The sequence below is a fragment of the Homo sapiens genome, chromosome 1 (assembly GCF_000001405.40).
Source record: "Homo sapiens chromosome 1, GRCh38.p14 Primary Assembly".
In the NCBI taxonomy this organism is placed as follows: Eukaryota; Metazoa; Chordata; class Mammalia; order Primates; family Hominidae; genus Homo; species Homo sapiens.
Genome location: NC_000001.11, coordinates 31,548,683 through 31,567,114, shown reverse-complemented (window position 1 = coordinate 31,567,114; position 18,432 = coordinate 31,548,683). Strand labels below are relative to the sequence as shown.

At 41.7% G+C, this 18,432-nt stretch overlaps 1 long non-coding RNA gene across 1 annotated transcript, besides 4 other annotated features; it reads right to left on the bottom strand.

The window, feature by feature from the left end:
- Window positions 1-182: 182 nt before the first annotated feature.
- On the bottom strand, window positions 183-15,580 carry LOC124903917 (uncharacterized). The gene is made up of 3 exons (XR_007065609.1): window positions 15,458-15,580; window positions 14,552-14,685; window positions 183-2,391 (listed from the first exon to the last, which is right to left on the bottom strand). It is a non-coding gene; the product is annotated as an uncharacterized LOC124903917 (long non-coding RNA).
- Window positions 3,813-4,107: a silencer, noted in NCBI's record as "tiled region #14090; HepG2 Repressive non-DNase unmatched - State 3:PromF". NCBI's record gives its function as "represses a minimal TATA promoter and a strong SV40 promoter by Sharpr-MPRA in HepG2 cells {active_cell/tissue: HepG2}" and the evidence as "EXISTENCE:reporter gene assay evidence [ECO:0000049][PMID:27701403]".
- Window positions 16,968-17,037: an enhancer, noted in NCBI's record as "active region_645". NCBI's record gives its function as "activates an Ori minimal core promoter by ATAC-STARR-seq in GM12878 lymphoblastoid cells {active_cell/tissue: GM12878}" and the evidence as "EXISTENCE:reporter gene assay evidence [ECO:0000049][PMID:35858748]".
- Window positions 17,708-17,947: an enhancer, noted in NCBI's record as "active region_644". NCBI's record gives its function as "activates an Ori minimal core promoter by ATAC-STARR-seq in GM12878 lymphoblastoid cells {active_cell/tissue: GM12878}" and the evidence as "EXISTENCE:reporter gene assay evidence [ECO:0000049][PMID:35858748]".
- Window positions 18,018-18,137: a silencer, noted in NCBI's record as "silent region_570". NCBI's record gives its function as "represses an Ori minimal core promoter by ATAC-STARR-seq in GM12878 lymphoblastoid cells {active_cell/tissue: GM12878}" and the evidence as "EXISTENCE:reporter gene assay evidence [ECO:0000049][PMID:35858748]".

The window sequence follows — 18,432 nt, the reverse complement described above, 5'->3', positions numbered from 1 at the left end:
GTCTTGAACTCCTGGGCTCAAGCAATCCTCCCACCTCAGCATCCCAAAGTGCTGGGATCACAGGCATGTGCCACCATGCCTGGCAGGTTGAAAGTACTGTATGAGTTATCTATTGCTGCATACCAGATTATCATAAACTCAGCAGTTTAAAAAAACACCCATTGTTTAGCTCACAGTCTCACCTGAACTGGGTGCTGAGTTCAGGGTGAAACCAAGGTGGCGGCCAGGCTTGGTTCTTTTTTGGAAGCTCTGGGGGGAAAATCTACTTCCAAGGCCATTCTTGTTGTTGGCAGAATCTGGATCCTTGTGGTTGTAGAACTGAGTCTCTGGTTTCTTGCAGGCTTCCAGGAGGGGCCTCCCTGGGCTCCCGGAGGACACCCACAGTCCTCACCATGCAGCTCCCTCCAACATCAAGCCAGGAATGGCCGAACAGATCTTTCTCATGCTTCAAATCTCTGATGAATTTCTCTTGCCAGAGAAAGCTTGCCATTTTCCAAGGGCTCACCCAGTCAGATCCGTCCAACAAGGGTGATCTCCCTAACATTAGGTTAACTGACTTGGAACCTCAGTTAATCTGCAAAATCCCTTTTGTCATATAATGGAATACAATCATTTGGTTCACATGCTCATCTTATTCACAGGCCCTACACTCATACAAGGGCAGGGGACCACAGAAGAGTGAAGGCCAGTGAGGGTCACCTCAGAATTCTGCCCAACACCGGTGTTTTGTAATTTGGGTAGATGTTGCCATGTTGTCCTCCGTGGGGATTATGCAGAGGGAACTCTCCTCCTCCAGCAACAGTACATGTACCTGCTTTTCCATGGTGCTGCTTAGAGAATGTTATCAAACCTTTGGATTTCTGCCAGTCTGATAGGAGAAAAATGGAATCTCAATTGTATTTTAAAATTGTAATTATCGCCTTATGAATAAGGCTGAGCATTTCCTCAAAAGCATAAGAGCCATTTATATACTTTTTTCTTTATGGCTTCTGGTTTTGAGGCATAGAAAGGTCTTTCTAGCTCTAAAGTTAATCAGAAATTCTCTGTTTTCTTTTTGCTTTTTTTAAAATTTTACTTTAAGTCCTTGGATACATGTGCTGAACGTGCAGGTTTGTTACATAGGTATACATGGGCCATGGTGGTTTGCTGCACCTATCAACCCGTCATCTAGGTTTTAAGCTCCACATGCATTAGGTATTTGTCCTAATGCTCTTCCTCCTCTTTCCCCATGCCCCCAACAGGCCCCGGTGTGTGATGTTCCCCTCCCTGTGTCCATGTGTTCTCATTGTTTAGCTCCCACTTATGAGTGAGAACATGCAGTGTTTGGTTTTCTGTTCCTGTGTTAGTTTGCTGAGGATGATGGTTTTCAGCTTCATCCAGGTCCCTGCAAAGGACATGAACTCATTCTTTTTTATGGCTGCATAGTATTCCAAGTTGCATATGTGCCACATTTTCTTTATCCAGTGTATCATTGATGGGCTTTTGGGTTGCTTCCAAGTCTTTGCTATCGTAAGTAGTGCTGCAATAAACAAATGTATGCATGTGTCTTTATAGTAGAATGATTTATAATCCTTTGGGTATATACCCAGTAATGGGATTGCTGGGTCAAATGGTATTTCTAGTTCTAGATCCTCGAGGAGTCGCCACACTGTCTTCCACAATGGTTGAGCTAATTTACACTCCCACCAACAGTGTAAACGTGTTCCTATTTCTCCACATCCTCACCAGCATTTGTTATTTCCAGACTTTTTAATGATTGCCATTCTAACTGGCATGAGATGGTATCTCCTTGTGGTTTTGATTTGCATTTCTCAGCTCATTGCAACCTCTGCCTCCCAGGTTCAAGCAATTCTCCTGCCTCAGCCTCCAGAGTAGCTGGGATTACAGGGGCACGCCACCAAGCCCAGCTAATTTTTGTATTTTTAGCAGAAACAGGGCTTCACCATGTTGGCCAGTCTGGTCTCAAACTCCTGATCTCAAGTGATCCATCCACCTCAGCCTCCCAAAGTGCTGGGATTATAGGCGTGAGCCACCACGGCTGGCCATTCTCCTGTGTTTTCTTCTGGGGCTTTTATACTTTCATTTTTTAAAATCCATAGTTTCTTGGAGCTGGAGGTGTCCCTTGTCATTTTCTCATCAGTGAGTGCAAAGCAGGATCCCAAAAGGATTGGAGTCCAGAGTAGAGAAAGGAGCTGCCGCGGTGGAGTCTGTTCAGTGCAGGCTCTGATCTCCTTCAGCCCTGCCAGGAATCCCAGCCAGCAGATCTTCTTCCAGCTTCCCTTTCTCCAGCACTCTTGATCTTCTGGGCTGGCACAGGGTCCAGGGTTGATGGGGATCCTAGCTGCCTGAGGAGCTTCCAGTCTGGAGGGTGATACAAGCACATGGCCAGACCTGAATTCAAGCCATGAGAGAGATTCAGAACCTGGGCTGGGAGCGCAGGGGAGGGAGCGGGGTGCTGATGGGGGTGGATGGGAGGCTCCAGAGAGGAGGTGGCGTCTGAACTGAACCTTAAGAATGAGGGGAAATGTAATGGCAGCGATGAGAAAGGGGAGGCACTTCAGTGCAGAGAACAGCAAGAGCAAAGACAAGGAGGTGGAAAATCAGCCAGAAACCTAGCCTGGAGAGGGTTTAGTGGACCATGGGTCCTTGATGGTAGAGACACAACATGACTTATCTCTGTGTCCCATCCTCTGTGCCAGAGGCGGCATCGACCAGACTTGGACAAATGAAGCAGAAGGGACAGGGGACTTAGAATACTAGGCTGCATCATTTTCTTTTTACTCTGACAGTGAGAAGCAAAGACCTCCACAAAGAAAGAAGCCCTTGGCTGTGTCATCATTTTAGAATCTGGGCACTCTCTGCACACCACTGCCCCCTCATGGCTGATCTAGGAATTCTCTCTAAATCCCAGACTGAAGGTGAGGAGGAGGCTCAGTGAGTCTTAGAGATTTGAAAAGCCGTGAAATCCTGGTTGGAGAACATCTGAGTCCAAAGGGCCCTCAGAGACTCTCTGACTTCCTCATTACATATAAAGAAATCAAGAGGGTGCTGCCAGGGAGTGGGGACAAGAACACTGAATTTGGTGTAAAACGGCCCTCAGCTTGCAGCCTGGCTCTATTTCTTACTGGCTGTAAGGCCCTAGGCAAGTGGCCTCACCTCTCTAAGCCACAGTTTCCATCTCTTTCAAATGGAGTCTGCCATCTGGCCGGCTTCTCTTTTCTGGGAATGCCACGCCAAGTTCCTCAGATCAATTCTCCTATTGAAAACAGCTAAAGGCCGGGCACGGTGGCTCACGCCTGTAATCCCAGCACTTTGGGAGACCAAGGTGGGCAGATCACCTGAGGTCAGGAGTTCAAGACCAGCCCGTCCAACATGAGGAAACCCCGTCTCTACTAAAAATACAAAAATTAGCTGGGCATGGTGGTGCATGCCTGTAATCCCAGCTACTCGGGAGGCCAAGGCACAAGAATCGCTTGAATCTGGGAGGCGGAGGTTGCAGTGAGCAGAGATCAGGCCACTGCACTCCAGCCTGGGCACCAGAGCAAGACTTGTCTCAAAAAAAAGAAAAAAAGAAAACAACTAAAAACACTGACATATTGGTGCAGCCATAGGGTAAGGCATCACTAGAACAAAGCTAAAGGGAAAACAGAAACGTAGACAGATAAACCATACGGGAAACTCACATTTACTCTGAGGGCACTTCCTGATTTGGGCTAGTTTGAACTGTTGTTTTGATAACTCCTCTAGGCAATGTACACAAATAAAAGTCCAGAGCACATGGTGGAAGATCAAATAGAAGACCTTCCCCCAAATTAGTTGGGATCCCAAAGAGCCATACTCTCAGAAGTAAACCAGCCCCAGTATGGACTTGTCAGAGGCGTTTGAATCAGAGGAAGAGCAGCTGCATCTTGAATAGGGGCTGGGTAAGATAAGGCTGAGACCTACTGGGCTGCATTCCTAGGAGGTTAGGCATTCTTGGTCACAGGATGAGACAGGAGGTCAGCACAACACACTGGTCATAAAGCCCTTCCTGGTAAAACAGGTTGCAGTAAAAAAGCCGGCCAAAACCCACCAAAACCAACATGGCAATGAGAATGACCTCTGGTCATCCTCACTGCTCACTATATGATAATTATAATACATTAGCCTGGTTCTATTTCTTACTGGCTGTAAGGTGAGGAGGAGGCTAGAAGACACTCCCACCAGCACCATGACAGCTGACAAATGCCATGGCAACATCTGGAAGTTACCCTATAGGGTCTGAAAAGGGGAGGAACCCTCAGCTCCGGGGATTGCTCACACCTTTCCCTGGAAATTCATAAATAATCTACCCCTTGTTTAGTGTATAATCAAGAAATAACCATAAAAATGGACAACCAGAGGCCCATGGTGCTGCTGGTCTACCTGTGGAGTAGCCATTCTTTCATTCCTTTACTTTCCTGATAAACTTGCTTTCACTTTACTCTATGGACTCGCCCCAAATTCTTTCTTGCACAAGATCTAAAAACCCTCTCTTGGGGTCTGGATTGGGACTCCTTTCCAGTAACAGACTTGCAGCTCTAATTTGTATCTCCTGGGTGGTCGGTAACCTCAAGCCTTGAACTTAGATTGAGGTGACCCTAGACTATTTGTTTCTTCCAAAGGTTTCTGGAAGAAGCAAATGAAAACCTTCTCTGGAGGGAGGTCCTTCAGTCAAGGCTCCAAATGAGTCACACAAAGAAATATTTAAGTACGACGGCCAGCACACAGTAAAAGATAATCAGGGCCGGGCGCGGTGGCTCACACCTGTAATCCCAGCACTTTGGGAGGCCGAGGTGGGTGGATCACCTGAGGTCAGGAGTTTGAGACCAGCCTGGCCAATATGATGAAACTCTGTCTCTACTAAAAATTAGGCGGGCATGGTGGCGGGCACCTGTAGTTCCAGCTACTCAGGAGGCTGAGGCAGAAGAATTGCTTGAACCCAGGAGGCGGAGGTTGCAGTGAGCTGAGATCGCGCCACTGCACTACAGCTTGGTGACAGAGTGAGACTCCATCTCAAAAAAAAAAAAAAAAAAAAAAAGATAATCAGGCACATAAGGAAATGAGACCACACAGCAAGAACCAGAAGAAATGAGAGACAATAGAAACATATCTATAAAGAATTTAAACACTGGAATTATTTTACATAGAATATAGAACAACCATATTTAAATAAACAATAGAGTAGCTTGAAAATATTTGCCTGGAACAGGATGAAAAGTGACAGTAGGTTTGAAGGGACAAACTGAACTTCTAGAAATGAATAATACAATTAACTAAAATTTAAAAATCAATAGCAAATTTAAAGCATTTTGGACATAGCAAAAAAGATAATTGGTGAATTGGAAGAAAGGTCAGAAGAAATAATCCAAAATGAGCATGGAGAGACATAAAGATTAAAAATAATAGCAAGAAATAGTAAAAGACACGAAGAATAAATGAGAAATGGATCTAACACTCTTGTAACTGGAACTTCAGGAGAGAAGAGAGAGACTAATGAAAACGTGATATTGGAAACGTCAGTGGCTGAAAATCTCCCAGAACTGATCAAAGCCATTAATCTACAGATTCAAAAAGCCCAACAAATCCCAAGTGGGATAAAAAAAAATTTTTTTTTGAGACGGAGTCTCGCTCTGTTGCCCAGGCTGGAGTGTAGTGGCGTGATCTCGACTCACTACAACCTCCACCTCCTGGGTTCAAGCGATTCTCCCGCCTCAGCCTCCCAAGTAGCTGGGATTACAGGTATCCGCCATCATGCCCGGCTAATTTTTGTATTTTTGTAGAGAAGGGGTTTCACCATGTTGGCCAGGCTGGTCTTGAACTCCTGACCTCAGGTTATCCACCTGCCTTGGCCTTCCAAAGTGCTGGGATTACAGGCATGAGCCACTTTGCCTGGCCAGATAAAATTTTTTTTTAATTTGCTGAGTGTGGTGGCTCACGCCTGTAATCCCAGCACTTTGGGAGGCCAAGGCGGGCAGATCACGAGGTCAGGAGATCAAAACCAGCCTGGCCAACATGGTGAAACCCGTCTCTAGTAAAAATACAAAAATTAGCCAGGCTTGGTGGTGCATGCCTGTAGACCCAGCTACTTGGGAGGCTGAGGCAGGAGAATCGCTTGAACCCGGGAGGCGGAGGTTGCAGTGAGCTGAGATCGCACCATTGCACCCCAGCCTGGCGACAGAGCGAGATTCCTCTAAAAAAAAAAAATTAATTTACACCTAGAAAAGCTTACATAGTGTATGATTCCAACTATGTAACATTCTGGAAAAGACAAGGCCATGGAGACAGTAAAAAGATCAGTGGCTGCCAGGGGTTTGGGGTGAGAGAGGATGAATAGATTAGAACAGGAAATTTTTAGAACAGTGAAACTATTTTGTATGATGCTGTAATAGTATATACATTTCATTATAAGTTTGTCAAAACCCATAGAATTTACAATACAAAGAGTGAACCCTAATGTAAACTATGGACTTTGGTCGATAACGATAATGTTGGTTTATTGATTGTAACAAATGTACAACACCCATGGAGGATGTTGATGTTAAGGGGGGCTGTGTGTGGAAAACGAGGGAGGGGCATGTGGAAACTCTCTGTACTTTGGTTTTTTTTCTTTTTCTTTTTTCTTTTTTTTAATTTTGAGACAGGGTCTCACTCCATCGCCCAGGATGGAGTGCAATGGTGCAATCACAGCTCACTGCAGCCTCGACCTCCTAGGCTCAAATGATCCTTCTAATAGCCTTCCTAGTAGCTGGGACTACAGACGTGCACCACCAGGTCTGGCTACTAATTTTTGTATTTTTTTGTAGAGATGGGGTTTGCCATGTTGCCTAGGCTGGTCTCGAATTCTGGGATTAAGCGATCCTCCTGCCTTGGCTGGGATTACAGGCATGGACCACTGCATCTGGCCAACTCTACTCTCTACTTGATTTTGCTGTGAACCTAAAACTGCTCTAAAAAAAAATGAAGTCTATTAATTCAAAAAGAATTTGCACCTAGACATATGTGGTGAAATAGCAGAATACCAAAGACAAAGAGAATATCTTAAAAACTGCCAGGAAAAAATGTCAGATTATCTTCAACAGAGCAAGGTAAGCTGAGAGCTAACTTCTCAAGAGCAACATTAAAAGACAGAGGATAGCAGAAAGATCATCTTCAATGTGCAAAAAGAAAATAATTGCAGGCCAAGAATTCTATACCCAGTGAAAACATCCTTTAAGAATGAATATGAAATAAAGACATTTTCAGACAAACAAAAGCTGTAAGTGTATGTCACCAATGGACTTGGAGTAGAAAGAAAAAAAAGCTCAAATTGAAGGTCAAAAATGCTAGAAAGAATGAAGAGAATTCAAATGGCAAATACATGGCAAATCTAAATGAAACTCGATTGTATAAAACGTTAATAATAGTGGTTAAAATGGAATTAAACTGTTGTAAGTTCTTTACATTGTCTTGGAGTAAATGTATCAATTAACTCTAGACTTGAACAAGTTAAATGTTCAGATTATAACTTCTAGGTTACTGGATAATGAGTAAAACAGACAGTGTAATTTCCAAATTAGTCGAAGAAAGCAGAAGTTTTTTTTTGGGTGAGATCTACTAAAAACAACAACAACAACAACAACAAAAATTAATATCAGACAAAATGGACTTTAAGGCGAGAAGTACTATTAGGAATAGAGAAGATCACTGTATAATAATAAATGGGGCTGAGCACAGTGGCTCATGCCTGGAATCCTAGCACTTTGGGAGGCAAAGGTGAGCAGATCCCTTGAGCCCAAGAGTTCGAGACCAGCCTGGGCAACATGGCTAAATCGCATCTCTACAAAAAATACAAAAATTAACTGGGCATGGTGGTGCATGCCTGTAGCCCCAGCTACTCGGGAGGCTGAAGTAGGAGGATCACTGGAGCCCAGGAAGTGGAGGCTGCAGTGAGCCATGGATCGCATTACTACACTCCAGCCAGGACAACAGAGTGAGACCCTGTTTCCAGAAACTGTAATAATAGTAATAATAATAAATGGATCAAGTCATCAGGAAGATATATCGACTTATATACAACTGAAAATCAATGAGAAAAAAGATAACCAAATCAAATGTTGAACAAAATACTTGAACAGGCATTTAACAAAAAGGAAAACCAAATTATGAATAAACATATGAAAAGATGCTTAACATCACTAGTAATCAGAGTACAAATTAAGACCACAAAAAGATATCACTACACACTCACCATATTGGGATAATTTACAGTTTTAACCATATCATGTGTTGGAAATTTCTAGACCTACAGAAAAATGTGACTGTTAAGAGAAAAAATAGATAGTAGTATCGGAACCACAGTGCCCCACATACTGGAGTTAGCAGACAAAAAAATGTAAGATAACCAATTAATATGTTAAATAAAATAGATGAAAAGATTGGCAAAGTAGATAAAAATAGAGATTGTCAGCAGAGGAAGTGGGATATCTTTCAAAAATAAAATGTTCTAGGACTGAAAAATACAACATCTGAAATTAAGAATTTATTGAATGTGTTTAGCAGAAGGACAAAGGACAGGGTTAGCAAACGAAGACAGGTCAACAAAAAATATCCAAGCCAGAAACACAGAAAAAAAAATAGAAGAAGGAACAGAGCGTAAGATTTGTGGGACATAGTTAGTAGATCTAACATTTGTGTAACTGTACTTCCAGAAGGCAAGAAAAAACTGAGGAAGAAGCAATATTTGAAGTAATATGGCTGATAATTTCCCAAAACTGTTGAAATATATCAACCCTTAAATTTAAGAAGCTTAGTAAATCCAGGTAGGATAAAAACAAAGAAAAGCACACAAGCGGCCGGGCGCGGTGGCTCACGCCTGTAATCCCAGCACTTTGGGAGGCCGAGGCGGGTGGATCATGAGGTCAGGAGATCGAGACCATCCTGGCTAACAAGGTGAAACCCCGTCTCTACTAAAAATACAAAAAATTAGCTGGGCGCGGTGGCGGGCGCCTGTAGTCCCAGCTACTCGGGAGGCTGAGGCAGGAGAATGGCGTGAACCCGGGAAGCGGAGCTTGCAGTGAGCCGAGATTGCGCCACTTCAGTCCGCAGTCCGGCCTGGGCGACAGAGCGAGACTCCGTCTCAAAAAAAAAAAAAAAAAAAAAAAAAAAAAAAAAAAAGAAAAGCACACAAGCATATCATTGTTAACAGCTGGAAACGAAGACAAAGAGAAAACCTTAAAAGCAGCTAGATAAGCTACGTGATGCCTACATTTCAACAGACACTATAGAATCCAAAAGGTAATTTTTTAAGTTCAGAAAAAAGAAAAAAACAAAAACCCTGCTAACCTAGAATTCTATACTGAAAAAAAAATGCGTAAGATTTAAGGTAAAACAGGCCGTGTGCGGTGGCTCACGCCTGTAATCCCAGCACTTTGGGAGGCCGAGGCGGGCGGATCACAAGGTCAGGAGACGGAGACCATCCTGGCTAACACAGTGAAACCGCATCTGTACTAAAAATACAAAAAAAAAAAAAAAAAAAAAAAAAAGAAAGAAAAAAATAGCCAGGTGTGGTGGCGGGTGCCTGTAGTCCCAGCTACTCGGGAGGCTGAGGCAGGAGAATGGCGTGAACCCGGGAGGCAGAGCAGCCTGGGCAACAGGGCGAGACTCCATCTCAAAAAAAAAAAAAAAAAAAAAAAAAAGGATTAAGGTAAAACAAAGACATTTATATACAAAGAAAAGGCTGAGAAAGTGCATTGCTAACAAACCTTAATAATGTTACAAGAAATATTAAAGGAAATTTCTTCATGCTGAAGTAAAATGATCTCAGATGAAAGCACAAACTTTACAAAGCCTGGCGTGGTGGCGCACGCCTGTAATCCCAGCTACTTGTAGGGCTGAGGTCGGAGGATCGCTTGAGGCCAGGAACTCAAGACCAGTCTAAACAACATAGCAAGAGCCTGGTCACTTAAAAAAAAAAATTGTCAGAAAAGAGGGGAGTAATTTCTTTTTTTTAAGCACAAATCTTCTGGAAGTAATACAGGGCACCAAAAAGGACAAATATATGGACAAAAATGAAATAATTAACTAATAAAATAATAATAGGAACGCCTTGTAGGGCTTATAACAGGTAGTAAAATACACAATAATAGCACATAGGGTGGAAGGCAGGTAAATGGAGTTGAACAGTTGTAAAGTTCTTGCATTGTTTTCTTTTTCTTTCTTTCTTTTTTTTTTTGAGACACAGTCTTATTGTCAGCCAGGCTGGAGTGCAGTGGCACGATCTCAGCTCACTGCAACTGCCTCCTCCTTGATTCAAATGAGCACATCCTCCGGCTAATTTTCATATTTTTAGTAGAGGCGGGGTTTCACCCTGTGGGCCAGGCTGGTCTCAAACTCCTGACCTCAAGTGATATGCCTGCCTCAGCCTCCCAAAGTCCAAAGTGCTGGGATTACAGGTGTGAGGCACCACACCCGGCCAGTTCTTGCACTGTTAAAACCATGGGAAACATTAATTTAATATGACAATATATCTGTAATAGGTCAAAGATGCATATTTAAATATCTAAAGTTAAAACTTTTTGTAAAAACGTATGAATAGAACCTAATAGAGGAAAAACTGAAATAGTGAAAACAACTTGATTATCCAAAAGAAGAAAATAATGAAGGAATAAATGAACAAAGAGCAAATAAGACAGAAAAACAAATAGAAAGATGGTAGCTCTAAATCCAACTATATCAGTAATTACATTAAATGTACATGATGTAAACAAACAGAAAGACACATATTGTTAGAATGGATTTTTGTTTAAAACCCCAATTACATTTTATTTTTAAGCAACACAATTTTAATGTAAAAACACAGAAAGGTGAAACAAAAAGATGAAAAAGTATATACCATTTAAATACTAATTTTTAATAAGTTGGTATTACTACATTAATATCAAATAAAATAGGCTTAAGACAAACAGTATTACTAGAGGTAAGATGGACATTAAATAATGATAACAGATTTTTCCAGCAGGAAAATATAACAATTCTAAACTTGTGTGCACCAAATAACACAGCTTAAAAATATACAAAGTAAGAATTATTGAGACTGAAAGGAAAAATAGACAAATATGCAGCCACCACTGGAGATTTTAACAAAATTTTTTTTTTGAGACAGAGTCTCGCCCTGTCGCCCAGGCTGGAGTGCAGTGGCAGTGGTGTGATCTTGGCTCACTGCAACCTCCGTTTCCCGGGTTCAAATGATTCTCCTGCCTCAGCCTCCCAAGTAGCTGGGATTACAGGTGCCCACCACCACGCCCAGCTAATTGTTGTATTTTTAATAGAGACGGAGTTTCACCATGTTGGCCAGGCTGGTTTAACACACTTTTTAAAAGAAACTCAAACAAAAAATCCGTGAGGAAATGGATTATTTGAATAAAGTGGTTAGCCAACTTAACTCAATTGACACATATAGAATATATATGGAGAATACACATAATTTTCAAGTTCATATGAATGATTTACAAAAATTGACCCTATGCTGGGCCATAAAGCAAGTTTCAACAAATTCCAAAGGATTGAAATCATACAGACCAGAAAACAATAAAAGAGAGATACTGAAAAATCACTAAATGCTTGGAAATTAAGGAACATACTGCTAAATATTCCACAAGTCAATGAAGTCAGAAGAGAAATTAGAAAATGTATTGAATTGAATAAGACAAAATGTATTAAAATGTATGAATACAGCTAAAACAGAGCTTGTAGGGAATTGTTTAGGTTTACATTATACTAGGAAAGAATAAATATTTTAAAAATTAATGAAAAGGCTAAAACAAAGAACAAATTAAACCCAGAGTAGGTAGTAAAAAGGAAGTAATAAAAATAGAAAACAAACAGTAGAGAATAATAAAAAGTCTAAAGGTGGTTCTTTAAAAAGATTAATAAAATAAATACACCTCTAACAAGAATGAAGAGAGAGAAAACAAATATCACCAATATCGGGATGTGCAAGAGAACATCACTTCAGATCCTGCACATAAAAAGGATAATAAAGAAATATTATGGCTGGGCATGGTAGCTCATGCCTGTAATCCCATCACTTTGGGAGGCTGAGGTGGATGGATCACTTGAGGCCAGGAGTTTGAGACCAGCCTGGCCAACATGGTGAAACCCTGTCGCTACTAAAAATACAAAAATTAGCCGGGTGTGGTAGCGCATGCCTGTAATCCCAGCTACTTGGGAGGCTGAGGCAGGAGACTCGCTTGAACCCAGGAGGTGGAGGTTGCAGTGAGTTGAGATCATGCTACTGCATGATCCAGCTTGGGCAACAGAGCGAGACTCTGTCTACAAAAAAAAAAAAAAAAAGAAAGAAAGAAAAGAGAAGAAACATTATGAACTACTTTATGTCAACAGATTCAACAACCTAGATAAAATGACCAAATTCCTTGAAATAAACAATTTAGTAAAACTAATGCAGAAAGAAATAGGAAATCTAAATAGCCCTGTATCAACAACAACAAAAAATCCTGAATTTGAAGTAAAAAAAAAAAAGTTCTAACAAAGATTAGTCCAGTTCAACTCAAATGGCTTTACTGGTAAATACTAGCTAACATTTAAGGGAAAAATAACAACAGTCTTACACAAACTATTTCAGGAAATGAAAGAAGAAAGACTTCCCAACATATTTTGTAAGGCGAGCATAAATTTAATACCGAAATCAGATAAAGACATTACCAAAAAACCACAGACCAATTAACATAGTCACAGAAAATCTTAACAAAATATTAGCAAATTGATTTAGCAACATATAAAAAAGATAAAACCTAATGACAAAATGAGGTTTATCCCAGAAATATAAGATTGATTTAACATTCACAAATCAATTATTGTGATTCACTATGTTAACAAAGAGAACTATAAAAATCACAAAATAACCTCAAGCAAATCCAGAAAAAAATTTTACAAAAATTAACACCCATTCTTTATTTCAAAAAAAAAAAACCAGACAACACACACACACACACACACACTCAAACACACATACAAAACCTTAGTCATCTAGGAATAGAAGATAACTTCTTGATAAAAGGCATTTATAAAAGAATCTACAGCTCACATCATACTTAATGCAGAAACATTGAATATGTTTTTGTTAAGATTCCCTACGGCAAATATTTTGCTCTTACCGCTTCTATTCAGCATTGTACTAGAAAGTTCCAGCCAGTTCCATAAAGCAAAAAAAAGCAAGAAAAGGCATAAAGAGTGGGGGAGGGGGGTGGAAGGAGTAAAACTGTCATTGTTCCATACCACATGATTGCGTACATGGTGAACCCTATGGGATCTACCCTCTCCACCTCACCGCCCCTCTCCAAAATCCTACCAAAATTAAAAGTGAAGTTATCAAGGTCACAGGCTATAAAATTAATAGGTGAAAATCAATTTTTGTTGTATTAGTCACAATCAATTGGAAAATGAAATAAAAATACTATTTACAATAGTAAACATAGAGTCAATTTTTTTTTTTTAACCAAGATGCGAAGTTAATTCAATGGAGGAAGAAAAGACTTTTAATATATGGTGCTGAAACCGCTGGGTATCCATACGGAAAAAAATGAATCTCCATCCCTGTCCTTTTCTATAAATAAAAATTAATTTGCCATGGATGATAAACCCAAATAAAAAAAATAGAACCATGAAGTCTAGGAGAAAATAGATAGAATATCTTTCTGACAGAACATCTTTATAACCTCGGGGTTGGCAAAAGTTCCTTAGAACACAAAAAGCACTATCCATAGAAGAGGAAAATACACATATTGGACTTCATCAAAATTAAACATTTCTTCTCTCAAGAGACACGTTTAAGAAAACAAATAGGCAAGACATGGGTTTGGAAAAAATATTTCCACAACACTTGTGTCTAACAAAGGACTTGTATTCAGAGTATAAAGAGCTAAGGAAGGCTGGGTGCGGTAGCTCACGCCTGTAATCTCAACACTTTGGGAGGCTGAGGTGGGTGGATCACCTGAGGTCAGGAGTTCAAGACCATCCTGGCCAATGCGGTGAAACCCTGTCTCTACTAAAAAATACAAAAATTAGCCGCCCGTGGAGGCGGGCTTCTGTAATCCCAGCTGCTCGGGAGGCCAAGGCAAGAGAATCGCTTGAACCCCGGAGGCAGAGGTTGCAGTGAGTTGAGATTGAGCCATTGCACTCTAGCCTAGGCAACAAGACAGAAACTTTGTCTCAAAAAAAAAAATAAATAAATAAAAAAGAGCTAAAGCAATTTGGAAAAGACAATGCATTTGAAAATGGACAAAAGATTGTGGTAGGCTTACGTGGGCGGTCCGCAATGACCTATGCCTCCCAGTATCCATGCTTTTGTATGGTCCCTTCCCACCTTGCCCTTGGGCTCGGACATGTGATTTATCTTGGCCTGTGGAGCATGATGCAAGAAGACAAACCCTTGCACATTGGGTATTGTCCTCTTTGAATGCTCTATTTTGGAACCCTGCACCACTGTGTAAAGTGACCAGGCTACCTTGATGGGGGACCATGAGGAGAGAGATACCTGGCCAGCCTCCGGCTGCTTCAGCCATCCCAGCAGAGGCACCAGACGTGTGTGTTAGGCCGTCTTTGATGCTAAGTCACTGGAACCACGGACCCTCCAGATGATCATAGTCAATATCACGTGGAGCAAAAGACCTGCCCAGATATGGCCAAGTCAGATCGTAGAAGAATGGGCAAATAAATGGTTTTGTCTCACATCACTAATTTTTGTGGTGGTGTGTTACACAGTAATAGAGAATTTAAATAAGATATGGAAAACATTTCACAAAAGAAGATACGCAAACAGCCAGTAAGCACATGAAAAGGTGTTCAACATCATTAGTTATTAGGAAACTTCAAATTACATTTAAATTAAAACCACAATGAAATAGCATTTCATGCCACTAGAATGGCTAAAATTTTTCTTAAAAAAAAAGATTAACAATACTAAATATTGGTGAAGACTTGGAGCGATTGGAACTTTTCTGCATTGCTGGTGGAAGTGTAAGTAAGTACACCACTCAGAAAACTGTTGAACAGATTCTTAGTAAGTTAAACATTTATCTGCCTTAGGAACTAGCAATTCTACTCCTAGGTATTTCCCCAAGAAATCTGGTCTGATTTTTTATCTGGTTTCACTAACGAATGAATTACAAGAGTAAAAAAGATGGAAAGGGAACCAAAGATAAAACAATATTTAAAGACACATCAAGACAAATAAAAAACAGGCAAAGCAAAGCCATATGTAAACAAAACCATACCCGCCCCCCCAAAAAATACAGCCAAGTGCGGTGGCTCATGCCTGTAATCCCAGCACTTTGGGAGGCTGAGGCAGGAGGACTGCTTGAGCCCAGGAGTTTCAGACCAGCCTGGTGAAATCCTGTCTCTATAAAACCCACAAAAATTAGCCAGGCGGGGTGGTACGCACCTGTAGCCCCAGCTACTCGGGAGGCTGAGATGGGAGGATCACCTGAACCCCAGGAGGTCGAGGCTGCCATGACCTGTGATTGAGCCACTGCACTCCAGCTTGGACAACACAGTGAAATCCTATCTGAAAAGAAAAAAAAAATGCCTAAAAGACACCAATCTTTGGGATTTGAGTATGAGAAATCAGAATTCCAGGGAATTCCAAGAATTCCTAAAAATGACACACTATTCTGTATTTTTCCTAACAGCTTATGTGTTTTGAAAAGATAAGAACTGACCATAAAAACAAATAGTGAACATTTTTCTGTGACAGGGATACACTAAAAATGTCAGAGGTTTTCTGTTTAGTGCATGGTTTTTATTATGCATTAAAGTGCATGGTTTTAATTTATTTTATTATTTTGTTTTAATATACCATGACTCAGTGATGTATTTCAAGGACATGTAAAAATGATCTCTACCTTATGCAGACATTTAATAATAGAAAACATTAAAAGAAGGAGACATTAACTCAAAGTAAATGCCAAATAAAAGTTATTTTAAAAATGGAACAATAGTATCACAAATGTTTACTTTTTTTTTTTTTTTTTGAGATGGAGTCTCGCTGTTGTCGCCCAGGCTGGAGTGGAATGGCACGATCTTGGCTCACTGCAACCTCTGCCTCCTGGGTTCAAGTGATTCTCCTGCCTCAGCCTCCCAAGTAGCTGGGATTACAGGCACCTGACACCACACCTGGCTAATTACTGTATTTTTAGTAGGGACGGGGTTTCACCATGTTAGCTATGCTGGTCTTGAACTCGTGACCTCAGATGATCCACCCGCCCCAGCCTCCCAAAGTGCTGGGATTACAGGCATGAGCCACTGCACCTGGCCAAATGTTTGCTATTTAAGTTACTCTTTTTTGAACATCTATCAGAAAAAAGTGTTATTCTTACAAGGAAAATTTAAAACACTCAAAGTATTAACTGCCCTATCCAATAGTCTTGATCTTTGTTCTTATGACAAATAATTCAAACATAGGAAATTTTATTTCATTTTGCATTGATGTTAGTTGAATTCATAAGATTGTGTCTAATCACATCTTCAGGTTGGGTATGAGGGTACATGTTGCTTCATATAACTTTCTCTCTCTTTTTTTTTTTTTTTTTTTTTTTTTGAGACAGGGTCATGCTCTGTTACCCAGGCTGGAGTGCAGTGGAGCAATCATGGCTCCCCCCAACCTCTGAACTCTCAGGATCACGATGTTCCTGCCTCAGCCTCCTGCGTAGCTGAGAGCAGGCATGCGTGACTATGCTGGGCTAATTTTTTCTTATTTTTTGTACAAATGGGGTCTCACTATGTTGTCCAGGCTTAACTTTCTCCTTTTTAAGGATGAAAATATTTTGCATTACAAAGAACCATAGCCTATAGCAAATATTCACACACTGGAAAATACCAGCTAATTGGATAGCATTTGAGTAACATATGGGAATTGCCAATGGACTTACTGGATCACAGACTTATTTTACTCCCACACCTTATTTCTTGAACACTACTCGTAGGATTTGAACAAAGCATACTCATATCTATAAACTTATAAATAGTCACTTTATTTGCAAGAATGACTCACCACTAGCAGCAGACAGGGCCATCAACACGCTTATAACATGGTGACAGCTGCAAGCAAGACTGACTCTGTCCTGACCTACCTTCCCTGTGCCAGTCCGAGAAGTGTTGACTTTGACCTTTGACACTGCATGCCACTGTTTTCTGCTCTAGCCTTTGACACAGCGTCAATGGCTTCCTTCAAACCAGTAACAGCTCTATGTTGATGGTTAAGTTTTAATTTTCACAAGAGAATAATAATAGTTTTTCCTGCCACCGGAGGTTGGTGTTGCACAAGCTGAGAGAGGAGAGAATTTCAAGGAGGGAGTGGTCAGCTATCTGGGGACTGGGAGGAGGCTGTGGGCTGACTGACAGGTCAGTGACATGGCCCTCTGAGAGAACCTTCTACAAGGATCTACACGGATCGCTCCACGTTCTTCACGGGTAGTTGTGTGTTGAGGTGTGGGCTCCACCTCCCTGGCCGCCTGTGTTCCTGGAACCCGCCCAAACCTTTCAGCCTCTCAGGGCCTTTGTGACGCTGCTCCCTCTTCCTAGGGTGTCTTTCCCCGTCCCTCTCACCCTTCAGGTCTTCCCTCCACTGGCAACTCCTGACCACCCTCTCCAGTCGCTGTCTCCTTGTTCCTTCCCGGCACCCATCGCCATCTTTCATCCTCTCACTGATTTACTTGTTGATGGTGTGTCCCTCCCTCCCGCTCCCCTACAGGGCATGTCAGCTATACGGAGCAGCGCTCTCTGCTGTCTCATTCCCTGCAGAGCCCCAGCACCTAGCACATAGTAGGTTTCCAAGAAATATTTATTGAACGAATGAACAACTGAATAGATGGGGTAGGCAAGTGCAGATGAAAGCTTAAAGTCACCTCTCTGGACCTCTGTTTCCTGGTTTGTCTGATTTGTCAAAGAGATAAGAGCTCCGGTCCTCCCCTTTGAACCAGGCATGGTTAGACCCAGACCGTGAGCAAATCCTACGTGGGTGCAACACTGAGAATGGCCAGTAGGTGGCAGTAAGTCACTGTGGTCGAACTGGGACAAAGCCTGGCCCAACCAGGGCGCAAAATACCTAAAGTTTAATCCACCAAAGTTTATTTCCACCACGAGGCATGCAAGTCTCTCTTAAACACAGCACGCGTGCCCCTGCTACCCTGAATGGAGAACAATGAACCTCCATTTGGATTCAAATCCCAACTCTGCCACCAACTACTAGGTGGCCAGAGTAAATGGCCTCTGTAAAGTGGGAGCATTATGAGCGCGCAGTGGGTAACGGATGTGGAAAGACAGCATGCCGGAGCAGGGCGAGGACAGCAGGCAGCTGGCCGTAAATGGAGCCTGGGCCTGCAGGGAGCCCACGGCCACCTCATACTCCAAGCCACGCCC